At 36.6% G+C, this 25,965-nt stretch overlaps 2 long non-coding RNA genes across 3 annotated transcripts in view; one reads left to right on the top strand and one right to left on the bottom strand.

Annotated features, from left to right (window-relative positions):
• LINC01362 (long intergenic non-protein coding RNA 1362) overlaps positions 1-25,965 on the top strand; it is a 263,633-nt gene that overhangs the window by 63,397 nt on the left and 174,271 nt on the right. Inside the window, exon 3 of the long non-coding RNA NR_147074.1 lies at positions 25,281-25,401. This is a non-coding gene — a long non-coding RNA (long intergenic non-protein coding RNA 1362). The remainder of the gene's footprint in view (positions 1-25,280; positions 25,402-25,965) is intronic.
• LINC01361 (long intergenic non-protein coding RNA 1361) lies at positions 7,303-19,629 on the bottom strand. 2 transcript variants are annotated; one of them, NR_110633.1, is made up of 3 exons: positions 19,570-19,629; positions 12,482-12,707; positions 7,303-8,539 (listed from the first exon to the last, which is right to left on the bottom strand). It is a non-coding gene; the product is annotated as a long intergenic non-protein coding RNA 1361 (long non-coding RNA). The 2 variants fall into 2 exon arrangements; NR_110632.1 differs by lacking the exon at positions 19,570-19,629 and adding an exon at positions 18,281-18,343.

Below are 25,965 nucleotides of genomic sequence, written 5' to 3' on the forward strand. Positions count from 1 at the left end.
ACCGTGGTTAGATGGCCAGTTCTGGTGGTGCAAGCTGAGTGTGCACTGTCTTTTAACTTGTTCCCAAAAAAAGGTGTTTGATGATAGCCAGTCTTTGCTGCATGCATGGGAAGTTATGCTGGTTTGGAAAAGCTTAAACTTTTGCATGTGTTCTCCGTTAGCCATACTTCTATGTTAAGAAAATAATTTCTTCAGGAGTCCATCTTAGCCTTGATTTTTCAAGGATAATAAAGAGTTAAGAAATCTGAATCTCTTAGACCCTGAAAATGAATATTATTTTCCTAAACATATTGCACAGATTTTTGCAGATATGTGTGGTGAGGGGAATGTATCACAATAGAAAGCACGGGCATTTGTAATTCTGCAGAGAATGAATTAGAACATCAAATCTCTACTGAAGCTATTTCTATTCCATTCTGTGCCTGTTTCACAGACTGTCCCAATTCTCTAAAGAACAATCAATGAGTCTACTTTAACATATAAAATTATGGAACCTGGGTCCCATTTTGTAAAAGAAAAAAATAACTTTATAAAGATCCGTGTTTTCTTTGGAGAAAAAGGACAAATGCATCATTTCCACTTCCAAGTTACTTCATCATGACAAATGTAATTCCAGTCCTTGCCCCTGCAGGGTTAGCAGCTGACTAGACTAATATAACACATAAAACCCATAAAATTTATTGCAGATAAATTTTAAACAAACTTTCCAGTAGAGAACTTTGACAATTGTCCCAAATGCATTAGAACTCAGATGTTCTAGAATATCATTTGAAATCAAGATTGATAGGTATGTTATTTATAACTCATTCTCCTTAAGAATTTTAATTTGTGTAAAGTATTTCACTCTCAAGTTCAGCCAATACAGAATTCAGGAGTCATTTGGCTTTGCAGTGTTGATTCCATTTTTTTTTTCCTACAGTTCTTTCATGGTTGCTTCCATGTTCAATTCCATAAAGTTTTTACTTATGGTATATTTCCCTGGCTTAATTCTCCTTTCTGTCTCCATGGATCACGGTGTTTGACAGAATTGCAGAAGAGAAAAAGACTCACCACCAGATTTTCCACTCAAACTAAAAGATTAAGTCAAGTTCCAATAGAAAATTCCTTAATCAAAGTTGTCAGCTTTCATATGGTCGCTAACTTTAATACAGTCAAGTGGATATATATATGAAATGTTGTCAAGAGCAAATTTAGGGTCCTGTTACATAGAAAAACACTATGGATCACAGATTATTCTCATTTCTTCCATAGAAGTAAAAATAATATAAATAATAATAAGAACTACGTACCATTTATTATGTGCTAATTATAGCATCATTGTGCTGAGTGCTTCACTCAAGGTGATACTTGGGATTGTTCAGTTATTTACATTTCATGGTAATTCTAAGATATCCTATCCCAGGTCATATAGCCTTTAAGTTGTTTAATGTGGAAATTAATGCCAAATCCATTTCCGTTTTCCATCAAGGCCTGTATTCCTAACCATTCTGCAATACTACTCATCTAAATCATGATGATGCTTTTATCTAATGATAAATGACTTTGGAACTCAGGAGCTTCAAACTTACGATTTCATATGAATCTGTGATGAATCCCCTCTAAGGGTTTCTCTGAATGTAGTCTCTGCCAGGATAGAGGATCAAACTAAGTTGTCTGTACAATATGACAAGTCGATTTGCCCCAGACACTATTGTTAGTGTTCTGAGTATTGAAACAACTTACTCTTCAGGATTGTCCCTGAGTAAAACACAATAGAATAAAATTTAGAATTGGTTCTTTGTAACTTCTATTTTCTGAACTTCTGGTAGATTCATGCCCTAAATCATCAGACAGCTTTATAGTCTAGTCTTCTAGGAGAACTGTGTACCTTTGAAACTGTACCCTCCTGGGGTCCCAAGCCAAAGTAAAAAAGACAGGACTCAGTCTAATACCATCATGATAGTAAATTATGCAACACCTCAATCCCGACACAAAGTTTATAAAGATAAATCTTTTGTTCACCTTCCTATATCTTCTTTAAAGCCTCCGAATTCAGTTCTCTCTACTCACCTAAATAAGCCACATCCAATAAACGGTAGCTGAGTAATTTTCAGGGTAAATGAAAACAATAAAGCTTCAAGTGCATGGAATAATTCCTTATTCCTAGGTCTTATCATGCTCTGGCAAGTTCTAGTCCAGTCATAGTATTAAGAATTATCTCTAAGGTGAGGTACATGCATGTAATCCAAGGTGGATGCAAAATGATCCTCTGAATAATAGTAAGAAAATTTTAGGACTTCTTATTATATTAATTTTACCTCAATCTTTAAAGATTTTATTTTAGGGAAAGTTTCAAAAAATAAATGATATAAAAGTGTAGTGGTACATTTATGTTACATATAAAAATACACAAGTAATAGGCTCAACATATCTGGAGACTCCTGGTCTATACCACAATAATTAAGCTAAAGGAATTCTAGGTAGAAAGTATGCAGCCACTTATTATGATACTACAAATTTATAAATATTGATGCACCAAGTATCCAAAATTATGAAAATACTATATTCTAAAGAGGGGGCTACAACTCCTGATTTTACATACTAATTTTTGATTGGGAAGTAAAAATAATACCTCTAAAGGTAAGGCCTCTAGGTTTTTTTTTTTTTTTGAGATAAGAAAAAATGCAGATTGAGATTTTCCATCTACATAGCTTAAAAAGACAAGGGAGTGGAACAGACTTGTTATACCTTAAAACAGTATTTCCAAGGAGGTACTCTTCAATGCTATTAGGCTTTCTAGAGGAAGAGGGGGGTTTGTTAAACAGGTTTCTTTCCTAGAAGAATTATTAGAGCTCCTAATAGGAGACTCTAATAGGCACTATCTAAGAGGCAGACAAACTTATTTGACCATTGCATCATGTTTTTGAGAAGCACTTCCTCGAATGAACCTGTTTTTGAATGTACTTGGAAAATGCTGACTAAAGTAAATTGCAGTTTTCTGCCTAGGGCCCAAACTTCTACCCATTAAATTAGTGTCCATCCCTGTTCAAGTTAATTCCAGTTTAATTTTTGCCTTACCAAGAGTCAGGGTAGTCTCTCTCTTTTCCCTTCTACCTTAATCCTCTTATATTCAATATATATGTTTTGAGTTCTTTCCATTTATCCAGTACCGTGCTAAGTATAAAGAGAAAATTATAAAAATACATAATCTTTATTCTAGACATTATACACATACTTATTCACAATTATTATAAATCAGAAGTTATAAATAGGTTTCAGAGGGAAACTGTGCTTGGTTTGGTGCATTAGGGAAGCATCCATGAAATGATATTTCTGCTGAGATATGAACGATGAGTTGGAAATGGACATTTGAAAAACAAGGGAGCTCCTAAAATAAAGGAAATAAATATACAAATGCTCTGAGTGTAGGAGAGATTTGTTCATCATCACCATTAGATTAGCAGGGTAGTGTGGTTGGAGCAGAGTGGATGGGATAGAAAGCTTATATGCATGGGGTGGCAGAGTCAAGGAGGAAGCAGATTACACAGGGCCTTGAGAGCCATGTCAGGGCTTTGGGATTTTAATCTAAAGCAAAGAAAATTATGAAAAGGTTTTAAGTAGCAAGTGACAAGATCAGAATTCTCCTTGAAATGATCACTCTGGATATTTTGTAGATGATGAATTGGAAAGAGACAAAAAAAAAAAAAACAGACATTTCCATATCCTTCTAGATAAACCCTGCAAGGACAGGTATATTTTTCCTTCACAAAGATACCCTAAACATTTATGACAGTGCTTGGTACTTGGCAGAAGCCCTACAGATATTTGCTAAACAAAGGAATGAAGGTATGCATCCAGTTAAGACCCTATTTTAGCAATTCAGGTGAAAGGTGTTGGTACATTGTACTTGAAGGTGACAGTGTAGCAATACAATTTTGGTGATTAACCATTGGCTTCACCTCCCATTACTTTCAATATATGTATTTTCATGTGAGGGACTCTTTTGATGGAATATTAGATATTAGCCAGAAATTGACAATATACAGATTTTGGAGACATGAGGAATTACTAGCAGGTCCTGCACATCATAGGCAGCTGCCTACTTTGCCCATGAACTTATATAGCAATGTTTAGGTAACTTTTCAATTCCTCATTTTTAATATATAGTCATATCATGATTCCAAGCTCATTTGAACTTTACATATGTCAAGATTAAAACAACCATAGAACCTGTTAGGAATTTCATTTATTATTTTAAATATATACAGTTTTGAAGACCCAGCTTAATTATTGTTCCGAATAGGTATTTATGTTACCCATAGAATTTACACAAAAAAATAAAATTTTAAATTACGCTCCAAATGAAAATGAGAAAAGTGCTTGTTATAGGTTGAATTGTGACCTTCCAGTTCATATGTTGAAGTCTTAACCCCTCTACCTACAAATGTGACCTTGTATAGAAATAGAATCTTTATAGAATTAATCAAGCTAAAATAAGGGCATTAAGGTGGGTCCCAATCCAACATGACTTGTGTCCATGTAAAAAGGGGAAATTTAGGGACAGCCACATATGCAGGGAGAATGACATGTAAGTATGAAAATCTACAAACCAGAATGACCTAGAACAGATCTTTCCCTCACAGCCCTAAAAAGGAACCGATCCTACCAATCCTTTGATTTCAGACTTTTAGCCTCGAGAACTGAGAGTCATTAAATTTCCAACAGTTTCCAGTACTTTGTTTTGGCAGCCATAGCAAACTAATGTAATGCCTATAAACACCAGCAACTTTATTAAGATTCTATTAACTGTTCTTTATATTCTTTATTCTGGTTGAGTCTGCCAAATTTAGCAACACATGCTGGTTGCTACCCCGGATGGTGATTAGTTCTGTTGTTTATAAAGACAAGCAAATTGTATTTAAATCTTTTAAAGTTGGAAAAAGGTGGAAAGCAGGAATGGCAACTGCAGTTTTAGTCAAGTCCTGTTTCTGACTCTATTATTGTTGGAACTAGAAGGAGTATTTTTTTATTGAGAAGCCATTTGTTTTTCTGTGTGATTATTTAGAATAAATAATATTGGCAAGGCCACTTCAGCTTTAGTTTGAGATGGTGCAAATGTCATATGAATTCTTGGCATTTTGCTTTTCTCAAACATGTTTTCTTCACTTTAATGATGAATACACCTGCTTCATTTTATTTAGAAAGAAGTCATTCTCTTCACTATGACTGAACCACCACTTTTAAATACACAGTCAGTCCTCCATATGTGCTGCTTCTGCATTCTCAGATTCAACCATCAGAAGCTGAAAGATATTTGGGAAAAAAACAATGAAAAATAATACAATTTAAAAAATACAAATGAGGAAACAATACCATATAAGAATTATTTACATAGCATTTACCTTGTTTTAGGTATTATAAGTCATCTAGAGATGATTTAAAGTATATAATAGGATGTGCGTAGGTTATGTGCAAATACTATGCCACTTTATTTCAGAGATTTGAGCATCCACGGATTTTGGTAACCTCAGGGGTTCAGGAGCCAATCTCCTGTGGATATGAAGGGTCAACTGTATATTATAATTAATGGCTGAAATAATGTGAATAAACATTCAAATTTATTTCTTTATATTCTTTTTTGGAATTGAAGGATATAAAAATTAAATAATATTAATACACAAAGATTTAAAGGTATCTTGAATTTAATGTTATTAAATTCTCCAAAGTCTAATGCCATGCAAATCATATTTGTATTTATCCTCAATATTTTTTCTTGACCAGTAGGTTCAATATTTTTAATACTTTTTTCCAGATTTTACACTTTAATTTTAAAAATCATTGTCAATGCAGACACGACAAAAAACTAGTCCCGAAGTTATAGTTCCTCAGCTTCTGAAATATTTGCATATTGGTTTCTTTTTATCATTTTTCAGGGCTTGGAGCTCAGATAAATTCTGCTCTGTCAACACATATTTATAGATTGTTCAGAATCACAGTACATGTGATAAAAATTACAAACAAAACTGAAGATGTAACTCTTACTCTAATAAACAGGGAATGTTTTATAGAATAAATTGAACTTACATTAAAGTCAAAAGAAAGCATGTGTGAATGTGTGCCTGAGTGCGTGTGCACACATGCTAAAGGAACAGCGTGAGCCAAGGCACAGAGTCATAGTGAGTACATTTTAAGTGAAGATAAGTAGACTTGATTGGAACAGAGATTTGATGTTGATGACTTGAGTTACCTTAGATTATGTAGGTAAGGAGTGATTACTGGAGGCCTCAAATGCCAGTAATAGAGATGCTTTCATTATGGGTTGAATTGTGACCTCCCAGTTGTACCTGAGACTGATGAATAACAGGGGCTATTACAGAGGATCTAGAGCCTGGCTTCCCATCCTAGCTCAGCGTTTACTGCTCTTTGCATTCCAAGCTTTTATACTGTTTTATTTTTATAGTGATACAAGAGTGCCAGGAAGGGAAGGGCGTGGTCCCTTTAAATGATATGGAGGGGGGAAGGGAAGTGTTGGGTAGAGGAGGGCCCTGACTAGGGCTCTACCCCCACGGACCTAGGTGAGGACAGGCAGAAATGTTGCATTTACCAAGACCGCTCTGGCCCACCACAACCCCATCCTGGGCCTATAAAAACCTGAGACCCTAGCAAGGCAGAGACAGAAGCTGCTGGATGGCGAGAGGAACACATCGGCGGAAAAAGATAAGTGGCCGGACATTGAGAGGATGTTGAGGGAAGCACACCAATGGAAGAGCACACTGACTGACGCCGGCAGGAGGCCAGGCCGTCCTCTAGCAGGACTAGGTGGAGTTTGGCCTGGGGAAGTCTTAGGAGAGCCAGGGGCCACTGAGCAGCCCAACTCCAGGGGAAAACCATCTCCCTTCTGGCTCCCCCATCGGCTGAGAGCTACTTCCACTCAATAAAACTTTACATTCATTCTCCAAGCCCACGTGTGATCCGATTCTTCCGGTACACCAAGGCAAGAACCCAGGATACAGAAAGCCCTCTGTCCTTGGGATAAGGTAGAGGGTCTAATCTAGCTGGTTAACACAAGCTGCCTATAGACAGCAAACTAAAAGAGTACCCTGTAACACACACCCACTGGGGCTTCAGCTGTAGACACTCACCTCTAGACACTGCCGTGGGGTCAGAGCCCCACAGCTGCCGGTCTGTATGCTCCCCTAGAGGTTTGAGCAGTGAGGCACGGAAGAAGCGAGCCACACCCCCATCACCAGCCCTGTGAGGGAACAAGGGAACTTTCCCATTTCAACAGCATGTATCACCCTATCAGACATTGTAACAAAATCATTTGTTTAAATGGTTTTATTAAAATGTTTAAGTTTTTAATGATCCTTCTCCCCAGGCAAAATGCCAGACTTCCAGGAAAGAATTATTCTGTTCAACTATTACTTCCTCATATTAGGCTGATGCAAAAGTAATTGCGGTTTTGGATCGTGAATTTTAAATCATTATAACTAGGCTCAAACACATCTTCATTAATCAAAATAGGAACCATTACAATCAACACATTTTTACCAATGAAAAATAAGTTTGTTTATTCCTGTAGCATAAAAATCCGTGCTTCAGGATTCAGTGAACTCTTGGAAAGCACTTTTTGCATTCTACTGGTTGTGGAAGTGTTTTCCTTGCAAAAAGTTGTCGAGATGATTGAAGAAGTGGTAGTCGGTTGGCGGGAGGTCAGGTGAATATGGTGGATGAGGCAAAACTTCGTAGCCCAGTTAGTTCAACTTTTGAAGCTTTAGTTGTGTAATGTGCGATCATGCATTGTCGTGGAGAATTGGGCCCTTTCTGTTGACCATTGCTGACTGCAGGGGTTGAAGTTTTCGGTTCATCTCTTTGAATTGCTGAGCATACTTCTCAGATGTAATGGTTTCGCCGGGAGTCAGAAAGCAATAGTGGATCAGACCAGCAGCAGACCACCAAACAGCGAACATGACCTTTTTTTGGTCCAAGTTTGGCTTTGGGAAGTGTTTTGGAGCTTCTTGGTCTAGCCACTGAGCTGGTCATCACCAGTTGTCGTATAAAATCCACATTTCATTGAACGTCACAAACTGATTGAGAAATGATTTGTTGTTGTTGCTTAGAGTAAGAGAAGATGACACTTCAAAATGACAATTTTGTTTTTTATTTTATTTTTTTTTAAATTTTCACTCATCTCATGAGGCATCCACTTATCCAGCTTTTTCACCTTCCCAATTTGCTTCAAATGCTGAAAGACTCTAGAATGCTCAACGCTGAGTTCCTTGGCAACTTCTCACGCAGTTGTAAGAGGATCAGCTTCCATGGTTGCTCTCAGTTGGTCATTGTCAACTTCCTATAGCCAGCCACTGTTTTCCTCGTTTTCAAGGCTCTCCTCTCCTTTGCAAAACTTCTTGAACCACCACTGCACTGTACATTTGTTAGCAGTTCCTGAACCAAATGTGTTGTTGATTTTGCGAGTTGTCTCCACTGCTTTATGACCCATTTTGACCTCAAATAAGAAAATCACTCGAATTTTCTTTTTCTTTAACATCATTTCCATCATCTAAAATAAACACAAAATAAACAACAAGTAATAAGTGATTAGCAAAAAAAATAAAGTGAGAAATGCCCATTAAAATGATGTTTAACAGAACCACATTTATTTAAGAATGTATTCCAATATCAAACGGTAAATTCCAATAATGCAAAAACCACAATATTACTTTTGCACTCATACTTAGAACCATGCCTGGGGCATTATGAAAACCCAATTATTTAATTTTTTTTTTTTTTTTTTTTTTTTTGAGACGAAGTTTCGCTCTTGTTGCCCAGGCTGGAGTGCAGTGGTGCGATCTCAGCTCACCGCAACCTCCACCTCCTGGGTTCAAGCGATTCTCCTGCCTCAGCCTCCTGAGTAGCTGGGATTACAGGCATGCACCACCACGCCCGGCTAATTTTTGCATTTTTAGTAGAGATGGGGTTTCTCCATGTTGATCAGGCTGGTTTCAAACTTCTGACCTCAGGTGATCTGCCTGCCTCAGCCTCCCAAAGAGCCGGGATTACAGGTGTGAGCCACTGTGCCCAGCCTATTTAATGTATTTCTAACTCACTTTCCTTATATTGATATGGCAGTGGTGATGATGATATTAATAAGAATCACAATAATGCCACAGTGGTATGATAAGGCTTATACATAGATCCATCTAGCACAGGGTTTTTCACATAAGTGCTCAATAATTTTTATTTATTTAATTTTTTTTGAGACAGGATCTAGCTGTGTTGCACAGGTTGGAGTGCAATGGCATGATTCTTAGCTCACTGTACCACCTGCCTCCTGGGCTCAAGCAATCCTCTCACCTCAGCCTCCCAAGGAGCTGGGACTACAGGTGCATGCCACCACACCCGGTTAATTTTTTAAGTTTTTTGTAGAGACAAGGTTTCATCATGTTGCCCAGGCTGGTCTCTAACTCCTGAGCTCAAGCAATCTACCTGCCTCAGACTCCCAAAGTGCTTAGATTACAGGCGTGAGCCCCTGTGCCTGGCCTATGCTCAACAAATTTAGATACCTTTTTTCTTGTTGCAGATTCTTGCATTGAGACCAACATAAAAAAAAATTCTAAAGGAAGTCTTGTAGATTGACTTTAGGATGCTGATTATTTTCAAAACAAGTGAGAAACCCGGGGTGTAATGAACACTTAGTTCTAGGCTTCAATAAACAAAACATTTATTTGAAATTAGTCTAAAATAGAAAAGTAAAAAATGGAAAAAGATAATGCATGAATTGCAGTATCCAGCAAATATTAAATAATTTTTTGGGGAAAAAATAGATAGATAGATGATAGATGATAGATACATAGATGATAGATGATTGATAGATAGATAAATAGATAGATGATAGATGATAGATAGATAGAGATATATGTCAGTGAGAACAGGACAAGCTAATCAGAGAAGGCTTCATGGGAGAGGAATGGATTTGAATTTGGGATTGAAAAATGGGCCTGATCTGTCAAATGCCCACAAGAGATCAAGGGAAATGAAGCTGAGAAATAATCAGAATAAAATTGCTAATTTTAGAGTGAGATTTCAGCAATTTGATTGATAGAGAAGATGCGGAATTCAGGTAACACAGGAAGTTGTTGAGTAGGAATCAGTATTTTTGGCTTCTAGTCATGTTTACAACTTCAAAAATGGTAAAAAGAGCATTGCTAAATATGAGTATCCTATCTATAGGTTTTTTTTATATGATACTATTGTTTTTTAAAGATTGACTTTTCAATTTCAAGTTCAGTTATAGAAAAAATAAAACATCTGGAGTTTGGGAACTCCCAGAATGAGATTTTATTCCCTCATTGGTCATGTCTGAAGATTCCAGAGCTTAGAATTCCCTTCATAAACCTTACTTTTCTTAGAGGTAGTTCTACCCACGGACACATTTTCCTAAGTATAATCTCTAAAAGAGTTAGAATTTGTGAGTGAGTTATGCCGAAGTGTTGAGAGTAGCATTTCCCAAGATATGTTCAATGGAGCACTAGTACATAGTCTGTTAATAGCTGTTATATGAAAAAAAAAATTACCCTAGTCAAACATATTTTTGAAATGCAAGTTAAAACAAACTCAGACACTTTCTTTACTGCAGGACTCCTCAGAATCTCTTATTAGTGTGCAACTGTGAATATGAAAGTAGTATTTAGGGTAGCAGTTGTTTTCAAAACACTTTGCCCAAGATATCATTTTTGTCGTGAAACTCACCTTTGGACTTGTTGAGTGGGATGTATTTTATTTAATATTTTCCAGCTCCTTTTATCTCAAATGTTCCATGATATTTTTATGTTATATAATGAGCACAAAAAAAATCACTTAATAATAATAATGATGTATACATACAGGAACTGCCAGTCTTTTTTTCCTCTCCTTCCTGCCTTCCTTCCTTCCTTCCTTCCTTTCTTTCTTCCTTCCCCCTTCCCTCTCTCCCTCCCTTCCTTCTTTCCTTCCTTCCTTCCCTACTTCCTTCCTTCCTCCTCCCACAAGAAAGAATTTGAGGCAAGTCCAGAGTAGAGTGAAAGCAAGTTTATTAGAAAAGTAAAGAAACAAAAGAATGGCTACTCCATAGCAGAGCAGCAGTATGGGCTGATTGACTGAGTATATTTGTAGTTATTTCTTGATTATATGCTAAAAAAGGGGTGGATTATTCATGAATTTTCTGGGAAAGAGACAGACAATTTCCAAAACTGAGGGTTCCTCCTGCTTTTAGACCATACAGGGTAACTTCCGGATGTTGGCATGTAGACTGTCATGGTCTGGTGGGAGTGTCTTTTTGCATGCTAATGCATTGTAATTAGCATAAAGTGAGCAGTGATGATGACCAGAGGTCACTTTCGTTGACATCTTGGTTTTGGGTTTCGGTGGGATTTGGCCATCTTCTTTACCACATCCTCTTTATCAACAGGGTCCTGTGATTAAGAATGCCTGACCTCCTGGGAGTGCAGCCCAGTAGGTCTCAGCCTTATTTTACCCAGCCCCTATTCAAGAGGAGGTCACTCTGGTTTGGACACCTATCTCCTTCCCACCCTTCCTTCCTTCCTTCTTTCCTTCCTTCCTTTTCTTTCCTTCCTTCCTTCCATATTCTCTCTAATTAGGAGACTGTTTCAATGGACTCTTTAATTTTCATTTAAAATAAAGAACTTGTACCAGCGAATTAGATTTCAACTGTAACTATATACTGAAAAAATTATAAAGTAACTCTCAGGAAACATCATTAACAAAATCTGTGGGACTGGGATATCTAAATTTCTTCATTTCCACTTTGTAAGCTCTAGTATTTTGGGGCTCTAAATTTCTTTGAAAACATGTGAGGGTTTGAGGTACTGGCATGCATAAAATTCTTTAGTAAAACAGGAATATTGAATATGCTTTTAACTTTAACACTAAGCATTTCTATGATTGCCTCCCACTTTTTTTTATCGGTATTGACTGCAGTGGATTCATGAGGAGGACATATGTTCTTAGCAAAGACATATAGGACGATTCTGCGTTACATCACCACCACCCACCTTCATTTAAGCTCTGGAAAGAGACAAGCTCTTCCAAATGTTTCCAATTTTTATTCTGCTTTACTCTCACACAGATACTTCTCCGGAATGTTCTTATCTCATCCACCATGATTTCTTTGTCTCTCAGCTTCGTTCCTCTGCCCTTCACAGAAGTTATGTGATCGGCACATCTCACTGCAGCCTCTGGATACACATTCCCCGCATTGTGCCCCTCACCCCTTCTCCTGTTTTTGAGGCAGTTTCCCCAGTGCCCAGAAGCTGTCACCTTGTTTCATACCAAAGTCACTTATGTTTTCCCTGTTTCTGATTCACAGCTTTTACCTACCTTGCAGTGCTTTTCTGGAACATGTTTGGCCTCCCCAGGTTTGTTAAAGCCACAAAGAAACACCAACATTATCTATCTGAATGATTCTGGTTGTTTTTTAAAAAGCCATTCGCTTTGTGAAACCTACCTTTTCAAATTCCAAGGTAAATTGGCGCCTTGGAATCCTGCATTCCTGTGGTCTGAAATGCTTCTTGATATGCAAGTACAGCAGGAAGATGCAGACACAGAAATGCCTGGGCAGAGCTGTGACCAGCTGCTCTGTTCTGTGAGGGAACTTCAACCATAGTTCAGGCGACAAGAAGCCCTTATATGAAATAAGCCCCTCTGCCCTTCCCTTGCTCCTACTGTGTTCCCTAGAAACAAAAATAAAGGACACCTCCTTCCATAAATAGACAACTACTTCAGATGGAGTTAGTCAGATGAAAGTCACAAGATGACTCAAAATGCCTATTTCACAGGCATAAAATACTCTTAGTGATTGAGATATAAAAGAGTCAGCTTTAAGTGTTTCATGAAAATCACTGCAAATACTGTGCATAACAATTTACCAAGAACTCATGAAGCTGCTTGTTTAATAAATGAAGCTCATCTATAGTAAATGGCTTGGTGCAACCAAAGTGGCTCTAATCAAATTGGGGACAGATGAGTTCTGTACATGCAGCTTATTTCATTAATTTACTACTCTTTAGGGTTCATAGGCAATGGCCAATTGATATTATTTGTGACAATGCTAAATAAAATAAGTAAAGGAAAATAAGTTGCATGATGTATTGCAGAGATATATCACACCCCGGCAAATGGGGAACTGAAACCCTCCAGCAGAAGCACTTAGCACACTTCATTTGATTCCCATTCGTCAGTCTCAGTGCCGGTGGCTCAAAAAGAATGCAAAGGTAAATGAACACCAAAATATGATTTACAGTACTGGAAAACAGTCCTACCCAAATAAATCAAGGTTCCACTTCATTTCAGGCATTGGTTTATTCATAATACAGGGCTTTTACAATCAACCCCTGCCAATTGTAAACAAACCGCAACAAAACATACACCTGCACAAAGAGATAGGCATGATACTGTGTGTGCATAGAGAACTAAAGAGGTTTAGAAACAACTGCAGCTATTCGGTGGATTGAAAAAGGAAACGGGCAGCACATTTTAAAAGACCTCGTTGGTTTGAGCAGTAATGTTGTTGCAGTCTGCTTACATGATTAGGACAGGAGAAGCCACATCCACTTTCAGAATATATAGATTAAAAAATGTTCAACCAGACTGTTTCTATACAGAGCTTTGTTAAAACTCCTGGGAAGACTATCATGAAGTTCTGTTCTTATTCAAGATTTTAAGAATTGTGCTGGGTTAGAGATAAAAGACGAGAGAGAGGAATAAGTGAATAGAAGAATCTATTAAATGAGATGTCTTCTAAAATAACTTAATTTCATTTTAATTTTAGGCTCCATAGATTGTAACTGCCACCTTGCTACTGGGGAGATTTTCATCTGATGTAAACCAAAGATAACAAACGAGGAAACTGAAGGGTTTGTGTCATAAACATCTCTCTTCAGCTAAATATAGGTGATTGCATATTGCAAACATAATTCTGTGTTGATTTCTTTTTATTAATAATAAACCTAAAGGAAAAAAAGAAATACTTAGTTGAAAACAAACAAGCAAACAGAAAAAAAAGGAAAACCTTGAAATTACAGTATTTTTAAACTGGAAAGAACTTCCTTATAGATCATTTAGAAGTCTAATTACCAAATTCTGCAAAAATAATCTTAGGATTTAAAAAATATGAGTAAACCCAGGTCACAACATTAGTTAACGACAGAGCCAAACTCCAGCTCAAGGACTTCAAAATCTTTAAAAAGTTTGTGCACAAATATGTTGAAATCTTTATATCCTACAGTTCTTTGTGATATGCAAAATACACAGATAAATGTTTTATGTTCTTACATACCCTGTGTATGTGCACGAGTGCGTGCACACGTGTGTATATCATGGATTTTTTTTATACATATACTTATGTCATGGATTTTTTTTAATTTTAGGTTTTCTGCTTTTCTTATAGACTTACAACAATATTTTATTTGGTTTCATTATAATCAAGCAATTTTTCCAAGAAGCATTTAGTGTGGTTTCCAACACGGAAGTGTCCTCCCTGAGGTTATTGTTGCACTTAAATGGCTTTTGTTTTCCTGCCTTCTTATTTGTGTCCTGAAAAAGACATACTGGACTGACTGGTTGTCTACTTAGTGCCATGTCTCCGAAGGTTGTACATACACTGTGTTTCCTCTAACAAGCCTGCAAAGCAACTGCCTAGAGAAGCATTTAAAACCAAGTGCAAAGTCTTTTTTATAAAATATCTTTCCTGGGATATAATGTAGCACTTTTAGTATTTGTACTGCAGATACTGCTTATATTATTGAAAGTTAGTATTTTATCCCTATTTGCAGAGGTATTACAAATTACCAAACCTATACAACCATGCTGCCTGAAGTTAAGATTATACATTGCTGAGGTTTAAATAGGTGTTTGCCTAAGAGCAGCATTCTCCATAGAAAACAAGTTTTCAGAAGGAAAGCAGAAACAGTTGGGTTTTCATTCTATTACCATTGAAATTGCACTTCTTTTTGTTAATGATTGAATAAATCAGAATTTCAGTGGTTTATTCTCAGCATTTTCTTCTATTTATTCCATCTGTTAGGGGAAAGCACCAGCATCTTGAGAAATAACCCACTTTATAGTCAAAAAGTATAGTCTGCAAATTTAAGCTGTTTATTGTGGGATAAAAATAACCATAAAACAAACAAGCTCTCCTTGAATATTTGTGCCCCTGGTTGGAGAGCTCTTCCATTCTCTTGAAGGCTTTTGGCTATAAAACACCCTGAAAAACAATTTCTCACAGTCCTAGCTCGTATGTAGGAAGCTGTTTCTCTCATTCTGATTAACTTGACTGCAGGTTTGCCTGGGGATTAAATAAACTAGCTAACTTCCAAAACCCTTCCCAGGGAGGGAAGGTCTCTTCTGCCTTTTGTCTATTTCAGTGTCAGCCCTTGACACCCAGGCAGGAAGATGGGGATGGGGTCGGGGAGCGGTGTAACTTGGTGGGAATTGAACACAGAAATAAAACCCAAAAGAACATGGAGGCTTTCTGTAGCACTGCTGGGAAATAGGATTGCAGCCTGCCCCTCCTGGTTCATGTTTTCTCTACCTGTTACAAGTCATTTATTTTTATCACACCTTTAATGAAAGTGACCTATAGAAAGGACTTTTACCTGGGCTATGGTGAACTAAGAAAATAAAAAAGAACTTAGAATTATAGTGTTTTAGTTAGCCATCAAGGAAATAAGAGAAGTTAAGTTTTCATAAGATATTTTTTAAATGAATGTTCTAAACAAAATAATGTAATGTACGAGAGGAAGAAAATCTAGTTTATTGTCTCCAACTGTAATTGATTCACCAAATATGCATTCAACCTTGAGCCATGTGTAAGCTTCACTTCTTTGTCTTTTCAGAGTTCAAATGCTACCATTACTATAAATATCTATACTTCAAGGTTTACAAGTTAGTAACAATATTTTCTATTGACTAACGTTAAATATTCTCCCCAAATTTACAATGTTTAAACCATATCAGTATTTTGAATGACAGAGAGGCTGGCATAACACTTTTGTTTTCTTTCTTCTATTCATCTGATACTAAAGCTTCAGGGGGATTGCTAAGTTTTTCTTCCAAACATTCTTGTAGGTTATTTCCTTGTTTGGCAAGGGAATGAAATTTACCATCACTTGGGAAAATTCTGAAGTCAAGCTGTGAAACTGAACAAAATTTTCATCAGCAAAAATTGAGCTTGAAAAACATGTGTTCCCCCTTTGGTAACAGGAGGATGCAAGGTAGATAGGAAGCAGAATCGCAGAGTTTAAGCCTTCATTATTCTTTCCTGTGTAACCGTTCAGCAGCAAGGAAGAGAAAGAAAAGAATGCCAGCTGCAATGCCCAAAGCAAAATCTTTATGAGACTGAGCGACAGAACTTGGAGAAGCAAACCAGGTGTCCACTCCTTGATCTTAACACACAGCATTTGTATACACAGCAGAAAAGGAAAGACAAGCCAAGAAAGACAGATCCCTGGGGAACATGGAGAAAGAAAGTAGAGTGAGAAATCTTAAGAGGCTGCGGGTCCTCGTAGTGTGTTCACACAGGCATGCTGAACAATAAGTCCAAGATTATATTTTCATAAGGGAAATAGTATAATTGGCTATTTCCTAAAGTCACCTAAGCCCAGGCCAAAGGATACGTTTTCAGGGATAACAATAGCTTAAGTTTTTATAGCACTTTATATTATCTTGTTTGATCTTATCTGATCTGCACAACAAGTCTATAAGATAGGTTACAATTATTCAAGAAGAACTTAATACTAGAGAGGTAAAATCACTTTCCCGTAAGCCAGAATCAGTCTGGCAGTCTGTTGCTATAATTTCTTGTATGATATATTACTGAACCAAGCAGATTTACACTAAAAAGTAAAATTCACAGCCCTATTATTCTCAGAATAAATATGAAAGAGTTATCTACCTTGCAATGAAGGAAACATGTTTTATAAGAATTGATATTATGAACTTAAAGTAAAATATAGAAAATCAGAGTAAGGGCTCTTTCTGGTGACCACACCCTTAGGGTGAGTTTAGTCTATCCTTGTTACATAAATATAATGTAACTTTCACGTTCCATTGCTCAAATGTATCATTCATGACTATCTTATTACTTCTGGTTGCTGACATTAGACTGTAGGCCTTACTCTTATGCGAGAGAGAAAATCAACAATACTGCCATCATTACCATAGAAAATATTTAGTGAGGCCTCAATCTGTGCACCTGTTGTTGTTTTGCAAAGTGGGTTATTAGACGTGGTTCTTGTCCACTGGGATCTTAAAGACAAAGGAAAGGACATACAGACAACTAAACAAGCAATGAGACTTGTACACAGGCACATATGTGCCAGCTCCTATTTGCATATGGAAATCTCGACTTTGTAGATTCAAGTTAATGATGTTTTGCTTTTGTCAATCCATTATGAATTGTCAGCTATTAAAATCTGGCCCCAAGTGGTATCTCAGCACAGTGACTTGCCTGATCCTGCTGTTCTGTTGTGTAGGTTAAGATCTCAACGTTCCTATCAAGCTTCAGGGAATTCTTAGCTTGTAAAGACCTTGCATTCAGGGTCACTGATGTTTCAAGAAACAGCTTAGCCAAACATCAATTTTTTTTCTTCAAATTTTAAAAAGTTACTTTAACAATTAGGAAACCAAATCATCTGCTGGCTTCTCTCAGAAAATAGAATTTAGAGGAACATTATGAATTGAAAATGAAGCTTAAAACACTTTCTATTTTGAGCTCTGATAAACTTGAGACAAAATATAGCTTTCCTTTTTTCAGTTCTCAGCACTATGAGAAGGCTTATTTCTATCTTAGGAATCCTCATATCATTAAAAATATGTTATGCTTCATGGCATCATTTGATGCATAAATATGGATGGGAGTAAGAAAATAGAAAGATTGCCGATCTTCACCTCTAGAAATTTGTTTTTAATATGGTACCTATGCACAACAATGGACTAGGTGCTATACATAATCTCATTTAATATTCACAATTGTTGCATGGAATAGAAACTATTTTACCATACCCCACCCTCCCTTTTACCGATGAGAAAATGCTAAATGAGTTGATCTAGGCTGCACAAAGAGCAAGAATTACCAAGAATGTTCAAACCACAATTTATCTGACTCCAAAGCTCATCTATTTAATCTGTGCCTATCTACTTTATAGAATAATTCTAAAAGGATGCAAGTCTTTAACTTCTTTCTTTCAGAGAAGGTATGCCTTTGTGGTATGCATTGAATATTGAGTACCCTAAGGGAAGAGTGTACCATAAGCCTTTCGTGTCTTCTCAGCCTCATCTCTTCCACCAGTCAGCTGCACCATATAGTCTGTCGTAGGTTCTGGCCAAGCTCACACAGGTGAACCTGACAGTGTCCTTCTTAGGTTCCACAGGGACTCCCTGATGCTGCTGCATGGCACGTCTGTGCCAGTCACACAACTTGGTAGTGTGGGGAAGTTCACGTCCATTAGGTCACGCTTGACAATAGGAGAGCCGGAGCCCACGGAAAAAAAAAAAATCATTTCCATTTTATCTTCCAGGTGAACAATTCTGAAATACATTTCATAAGCCTCCTTAGAAAGTCTGGCAGGATGGAACACCATTTGCCTATAGTGGTGGCCGATGCATTCATTTTTGGTTTGGCTTTCCCTCCTGCGTTTCATTCTCTCTCATTCCTGTCCCTTGGGTTCCTGTCCCTAATGGTCTGCATGCAAGCTCTTTTTCTAGGTTATGCATTCAGAGTACTTCAAGCTAAGACACAGGTAATTTGTTTTATTAATTATTATATGCCCATCTTCTAGTAATGTATCTGACAGAGTATATATATAATCAATGATGATAAAACTGAAATTTTTTCTTATATTTTTACATTGCCTAAAATGTGCTTGGGGTAAAGGGAGTTAAGAAATTGTTATTTTTTTCACATTTGAGAAACTGTAATGATGCTTAGTTGTTGCCATGGATGTGTTGCCTTGGAAGCTGAGGAATTGGACAGGGTTGAATCCATTCTGGTCATTTCTAGGGGTGTTAAATGGGCACACACATCCAGAAAAAGTAACTTCTAATTCCCTTGATGCCAAGATCAATGTAATCAGTGCTATTATTTTCTAATTGTAAAAGCCATATTCCTATTACTGAAATTTGTAATACAATTTTTATCACTCATTCCTTTTTCCCCCTAGTGCAAAGTGAATACCGTAGTAAATTCCTTGCTTTTTCAGATATGGGTAATTATTTTTAAGCAACAGGATAGCTCATACTCTAAATTGAAATAAGCCCATCTTATTGATTCATATCCAATTTGTCATCAGATAGATATCAGCCTTTAAAAATAGAATCATAACTAGGATTAATTAAAACAATTTAAGAAGGTCTTGTAAGGGAAGCCAAACAGTGAAAAACGGTTGAAATTGAACCCCTTCTCTCTGTTACTTTCTGATCAATGTTTTCAACGCCCGTGGGCTTTCTGGCAATAAGTGTTCTGGTGTCAAGGATTACAACTGGGATCCCTTCAAGAGCAATAAATTCACTTAAAATATATAAATATGTTTCACTTACCACTGACCTGGAGGTGAAAAGTTCTATATCAAATTACTCACAGCCTGAGATACCCATTCTCCTATTCTGATTCTAATTAAAAAGGGCTGAGAAACAAGCTATGTAAGAAAGTTCATTTATAGTACAGTAAAAAAGTAAGGAAGATTTACTAAGTGTTACTTGCCACACAAAGCTGCAACTACAGCAAACCAGGAGGAAAGGAGACTTCAATGTTTCTTCCAAATAGAACATGCTTTTCCAATTAAAAAAAAAATTCACCACCATAATCCAAGAACTTGTCACTTCATGTCGATCTTTTGTGAAAGCTTTCTAATTGGATTCCCTGAGTCTTGGAGTTTCCTTCATGGGTTTTCACACTGCTGGAGTAACCATTATGAACATTGTGATGCACATGATATTCCTATGCCCTCAAATTGGCAGGGATCCACCATTGCCCAGGTTAGATCATTCAAAGTTTTTCGTCGAAGCATTCTAGCTATCTTCCAAACTTCCATCTCACAACTGATATGGCTGCCAGGAGAGGCAAAAACAAATTCTTCACAGGCAGTGAAATGCCTTCTAAGTGCATTGTGGCGTGATGGTCAATCTCATTTCATTTATTTTCCTGGTCTACTGGCAAGTGTGAGGCCAGGAAACATCTTTCATACTGTCTTTTTTACAGACACCAGGCACTCAAACAATCTTTTATTAATTGAATGAGAATTGTATCCCGTTCAATTGGGTATTGTTTAGATGCTGTCCTACATATTTTACCTTTAATATACTGTAGGTTCGATGAACAAACTAAAATATTTCAAATTTAATTACCCTGAGAAACTACAATAATTAGGGACAAATGGAGAAACTGAGGGCTGATTCCGCTCTCACTTAAGGCCACACTTATGATTGTGCGGGTGATACACTTCAAAACTCTAGAAGCCTCAGCTACATTATAGTGGATGTGAATAATGCCCCCTGCCCTCAGAAGGGTTTCAGGCAACACTTGCTGAGCCATACCTGGCAGCCATGCTGACCTTTACTAGCCTTGTAGATTTGGACAAGCTCTTTAACCTCCTAATTTATGAATAGGGGACAGTGTACTTCTTTAAAGGATTGTTGAGGATAAAATTATGTATTATTTCTTCCTAGCATTGTTTACAATTATGAATTTGGTTAGTGTCTAACACTGGAATATGTACCTTTCATGAATGTAGGGAGCATGTCTATTTTTGCTTATCACAAGAGTGCACTTTTTTGTAATGTGCCAGCTGTTGAAAAATATTGGTTAAGGAATGAATAAATGTCAATTAAGTTATGCAGAGTACCTGGCACATAACTGGAGCTAAGTAAATGTTGGTGCCTTCTTATCCCCCTTCTATTGTAATTAAAGATAAAAAATTTCTAGGGAGATATCAACAGCATTAAAATTGTTTACCACTTAAATCTATCTATATGCTTCTTTAGCATTCTAAGAAAATAAGAATATAGGATTAAATATCTCAATGATCAAAACAAGAAGTGCTAAACCTTCAAAGCATTGTCTCTGGAATTGATTAGATCTGATTTTGCGACCATGCTCCTATCGAAGTAACTGAGCAAGTCCGAATTCTTTTGTAATTAATAACACCTGTAGCCATTAGCTACCTTACAAGTTGATGTAAGAATAAATACAACATTTTGCCACTGTGACAGAGGTTTCCAAATGTGGCTTCATAGAACTCCAAGGACTTGAAGCCAAGTAATATAAGCAACAATATCACCAATATTTTATTTTATTTACTTTTTTTATTTTTATATTTATTTATTTATTTATTTAATTTATTTATTTATTTTTTTTTTGAGACAGAGTCTCTCCTGTGGCCCAGGCTGGAGTGCAGTGGTGCAATCTTGGCTCACTGTAAGCTCTGCCTCTTGGGTTCACGCCATTCTCCTGCCTCAGCCTCCTCAGTAGCTGGGACTACAGGCGCCCACCACCACTCCAGGCTAGTTTTTTGTATTTTTTTAGTAGAGTCGGGGTTTCACTGTGTTAGCCAGGATGGTAGGATGGTGTCCATCTCCTGACCTTGTAATCCGCCCACCTTGGCCTCCCAAAGTGCTGGGATTACAGGTGTGAGCCACCGCGCCCGGCCACCAATATTTTTAAAAGGCTTTTATGTTTCCCCACTTTATTAAAAAACAAAGCAAGGCAAAATACAACAGAAAAAACACATGAATAACATGCATTCATATAATTTTTATATATTTCCTCTTCAAAGTTTTTTTCTCCTTCAATCTTTGTTGCTTTTTATTACTTATCTACAATATATAAATTCTGGGATAGTAACTAATGTATGGTAAGATAATATATCTAGTTAATAAAATCAGATATATTGACGTCTCCTTTTACAGCATGATGACCTTAATGCTTTTCCATCACCTGAACAGGTTGAGAAGCATTGCTCTACCAAAATGAACCACGTGTTTATAATTGCAATTACCAATGCCCTTTATTTTGAATATACAACTAGCCAGGTTATTCAGAGAGTAAGCTCATGAAGATTATGATCAGGTTAAAGAGACAAACCATGTAATACACAAGATAAATACCCAACAGTAAAATCAGTGATATTAAATATGCCTGAGCTGCAGGGAATTCTATCAGAATTTAGCAAAATGAGATAGCATGGTAGGGCAGGGTAACCAGGAAAGCTTTGAAGTTTGCTAAGAAGTTAGAAGAGCAAGGGAAGGTAGTTCAGCTGAGGGGAACAGCAAGACCCACCATTTTGAATTATCAAGGATCTTTTCAGCTTCTTAATGTTCAAAGGGCTTTTTCTTTCCCGGTGGTGTATTCTATTCATGTGAGATATTCAAGTTTTTGGTGTATGTAGATTTTTCCCTTCATTACTGTATAGTGCAAGTTTTGTGAAGGCAGTATCTTTTTTAAAATTTATTTTTCTCTCCTACAAGCTAACCTCATGTCTCAAAATAGTGACCAACTGATGATAAATCTAGAATTGTATGAAAGTTAAATCTCAGGCTTAAAAATGAAGATTATTGTTTGCAGTTCTGCTTTAAATATTTACCTGTGTAAGTTTAGACAAATTATCTAACTTCTATGAGCCTCAGTTTTTTAAAGCTATACAATAAGGATAATAGAACCAACCTCATAAAATTATTGATGCACATAAAGTGCTTAGCAGTTTGGTACAAGGTAGCTATTTTTTCATTATTTAAATGAAATTTTAAAGGAGTGCATTAACAAATAGATGCATAAAATATATAGAAATTAATAATAAAAAGAATGACTACTTTATCCATTAAATGATAAAAATGACAAAACCTGGTAAAAATACTCAGTATATCTCCTAAAAAAGAAATCAGATGGCAAGAACTTCAACAATTACTCATATAAACAAGGCAGAGAAAAAGATATCAAAATAACCAATGTTAAATACATTTACTATGATTTTGTAAAATAATTTTACAAGACAAAAATATCATAGGAAAATAGCATTGACCTAGGGGATGGGGAGAAAAGCAGATCAGAAAATGTTGAGTAAGATAATAGAATAGGCAAAATGGTAGAATAATACTCAAGAGGGTTTTCAATTTCCCTTAGACAGGAGCGATAATGGAATTGCAAAGGCAAAGCATATGATGCTGGAGGTGGTAGAGAGCTGTCTTTTTCTTGCATTTATGGAGCAGCCAGTAAGTTTAGAGGCTATTTTGGAGTAAGCCCTAAGACTTAGACCAACTATGATGAATGAGACTGAATTGAGCAAACAACTAAGGCTTAATGCTCACCATATCAATTCTTGGCTGGCGAAGCCAGGCTTTTAAAGATTTTAGATTTTTTTTTTAAACTAGACTTTTGAAGAGATATGTAAGACCAAATGTGATTGAAATAAGTGTCTGTCAACAAAATTCAGCACTGGAAATGTGTGAAGTTTTTAAGGATCACTGGAAAGGGTTATATCAGCGTACTCTCCTACCAACCCTTTCCCCTTCTTGCATTTTGGTTTAAATTAAATGGAAGTTACACAATGGGAAATCAATATTTTGTTGTTCCAAACACTGCATTCACCTTGGGGGCACAACATTCATGTAATTCTAGTGGGAAATACTTTTGAAGGGGAGTTGAGAACAGCTAGAAAAATGTTGAGACTGATCAAAAAGAGTAACCTCCTAGTACAGTGTTGTCTTTCTAAGTGAAAGTCAAAAAATTTGAAAAACAGAGGCTCTTATTGAAACTGACACTATATGGCTTTAATTTATGTCTTAAGCCTGAGAGAATTTCTTCCTTAAAGCCGTAAATGCACACAAGACTTATAAGAATGAAACATTTTAATAGGAAGCTGTATTCCAGTCTGCAGGTCAAATTCCAGGTGTTACCCAAAGTCATTGACTAATTCCCCTTCACCATCCCAGTGTGGTTACGCTTCCAGAGCTTCCCCAGGCATTGCTGAAAAACAAAGATATGTATAAAATAGGTTAGAGTATTCAGTTTCTAAAATAGCAATCAGGTCCAGGGATACCATCTTCAAATGGTTTAAATAATTCTGTTAAGGCATCCATTTCCAAAATATTTTTTATTTATTTGTTCATGTTTTCATTTTTTCAATCAATCCACAGTTATTTCTTGAGTGATTTCTATATCTTTATTACTATCATCAGACTATACCCAAAATTTCACACAGAAACACATTGCTTTGAATCCTGTTTAATTTTCAATAGCCCCCTCTGAAAATGAAATGTCTATGAAAGAGCATATTATTAGTAGATACTTGTCATTCATAATAGCTTGTCCTGAGTGAGTAGACAAAGAAGCAAAGCCTTTCTTTAAGCATTTATGCTCAACTATGACTGCATAGGATGGATTTTTGGATAAGATATTATGATTAGATGGTTGGATACCAAGAAGATTGCCAAATGTTATTATTTGTTCATGGGTGCTGAGATTCATGATTACTCCTAGGCTAGCTAAAGCCTCAATTTGCAAAGGTGAAACAAACAACTGAGAAACCCAACTCCTGTAGTTAGCTCTGTAAAACTACATAAAGAAGATGAAACATCAAGAGAGAGGTAGATGATCAAGTGCCAAATACAAAATTGTTCACTTTAACATTTTACTTGGAGTTTGCTCCTATCAAGATCTTTAAGAATGAAAACTTGTGGAAAAAATAAGCAAAATCCTTCCTACATGTTATTTCATTTAGATCCTGTAATATCTCTATGAGGTTGGTACCAGTACTAGATCCATGGAAATTTAATGATGAAGACCTGAACTCCAAGTACTTAAAACTTGATCAAACTTCCAACTTTCTATCTATCACTGGATTCCAAAGTCTCTATGGGCAAAGTACACTACAAGCCAAGGCACACATTTTATTTATGGCTCAAGTATCTGCCCCATATCTGTGCTTAGCATACTGTGTGGGGGCTGAGCTGAGTCATATAACGTTCTTGAAGACCCATCTCCCTTTTACAAGGACTAGTCTTAATGCTGCCTTGAAAATTCTGCCCCATATGTTCTTTATTTGACTTCATCTAGTTTCTATTTCTGATACATGGGTGAGAAGTGATTCCAAATCCTAACATCTGACCTGGCCACATAAGCCACGACAAATATAGAAGTGGAAAACAAAAGAGGTTATAAGGACCTGTTATAATTACCTCATCTCATAAAAATCTTCCCACATCAGCATAGCAGTGTGTATTTTAAGAATTCTAATTTGTCTTTGTTTTCTTATCAGGGCTCCTTCTTCATAGGCTGGGGGTGTATACAAAGAGGATAATGGCATTAAACCAGCAAGGAAGTGTTGCTCTCCAGGATAGAATGTACGATTAGTAGATGAGAAACTGAGACTCATGGAGGTAAAAATAGCTTGGCTTCAGTTACGCAACTAACCAGTTATTGGTACCATAGACCCTGGTTTGACTGAGCCCAAAGCCTCACTCTTTGCACTATAAAACTTTATAGAAAGGGCTTAGTGGCTACTCTTTGCTAATTTTAAGGGTGAATTTCTAAAGTCTCTTAAGGATAGCATAATGAGATTATTCCATAGCATATGTTAATCTATAGCATTGCTCCACATTCTAGAATTTAGATAATCATAATAGTAATCTGTATAACCTCCAATGTTCAGTACTCATATAATATACCAGTTATTCAAGTAACAGCATTACATGAACTATTTCATTTTAATCCTGGAGGTGAAATATTATTACCTCCCACCATGTCTTAAAGAACACTGAAGTTCAGAGAAAAGAAATAACATATTTAAAGTCCTTTAAGTGTTAGACCCTGGACTGATTCCTGTTCAGGAGCTCTCCTGCATTAATTAGGCACTTTTTAGCCAGTTTGACACACCCCTCTAGTTGATCAGCAGTTTATATGACATTAAAAGGCTTTCAAAAATTCCAAAAAGACTAAAGATC

Source organism: Homo sapiens, chromosome 1 (genome assembly GCF_000001405.40).
Source record: "Homo sapiens chromosome 1, GRCh38.p14 Primary Assembly".
NCBI classification, from domain to species: domain Eukaryota; kingdom Metazoa; phylum Chordata; class Mammalia; order Primates; family Hominidae; genus Homo; species Homo sapiens.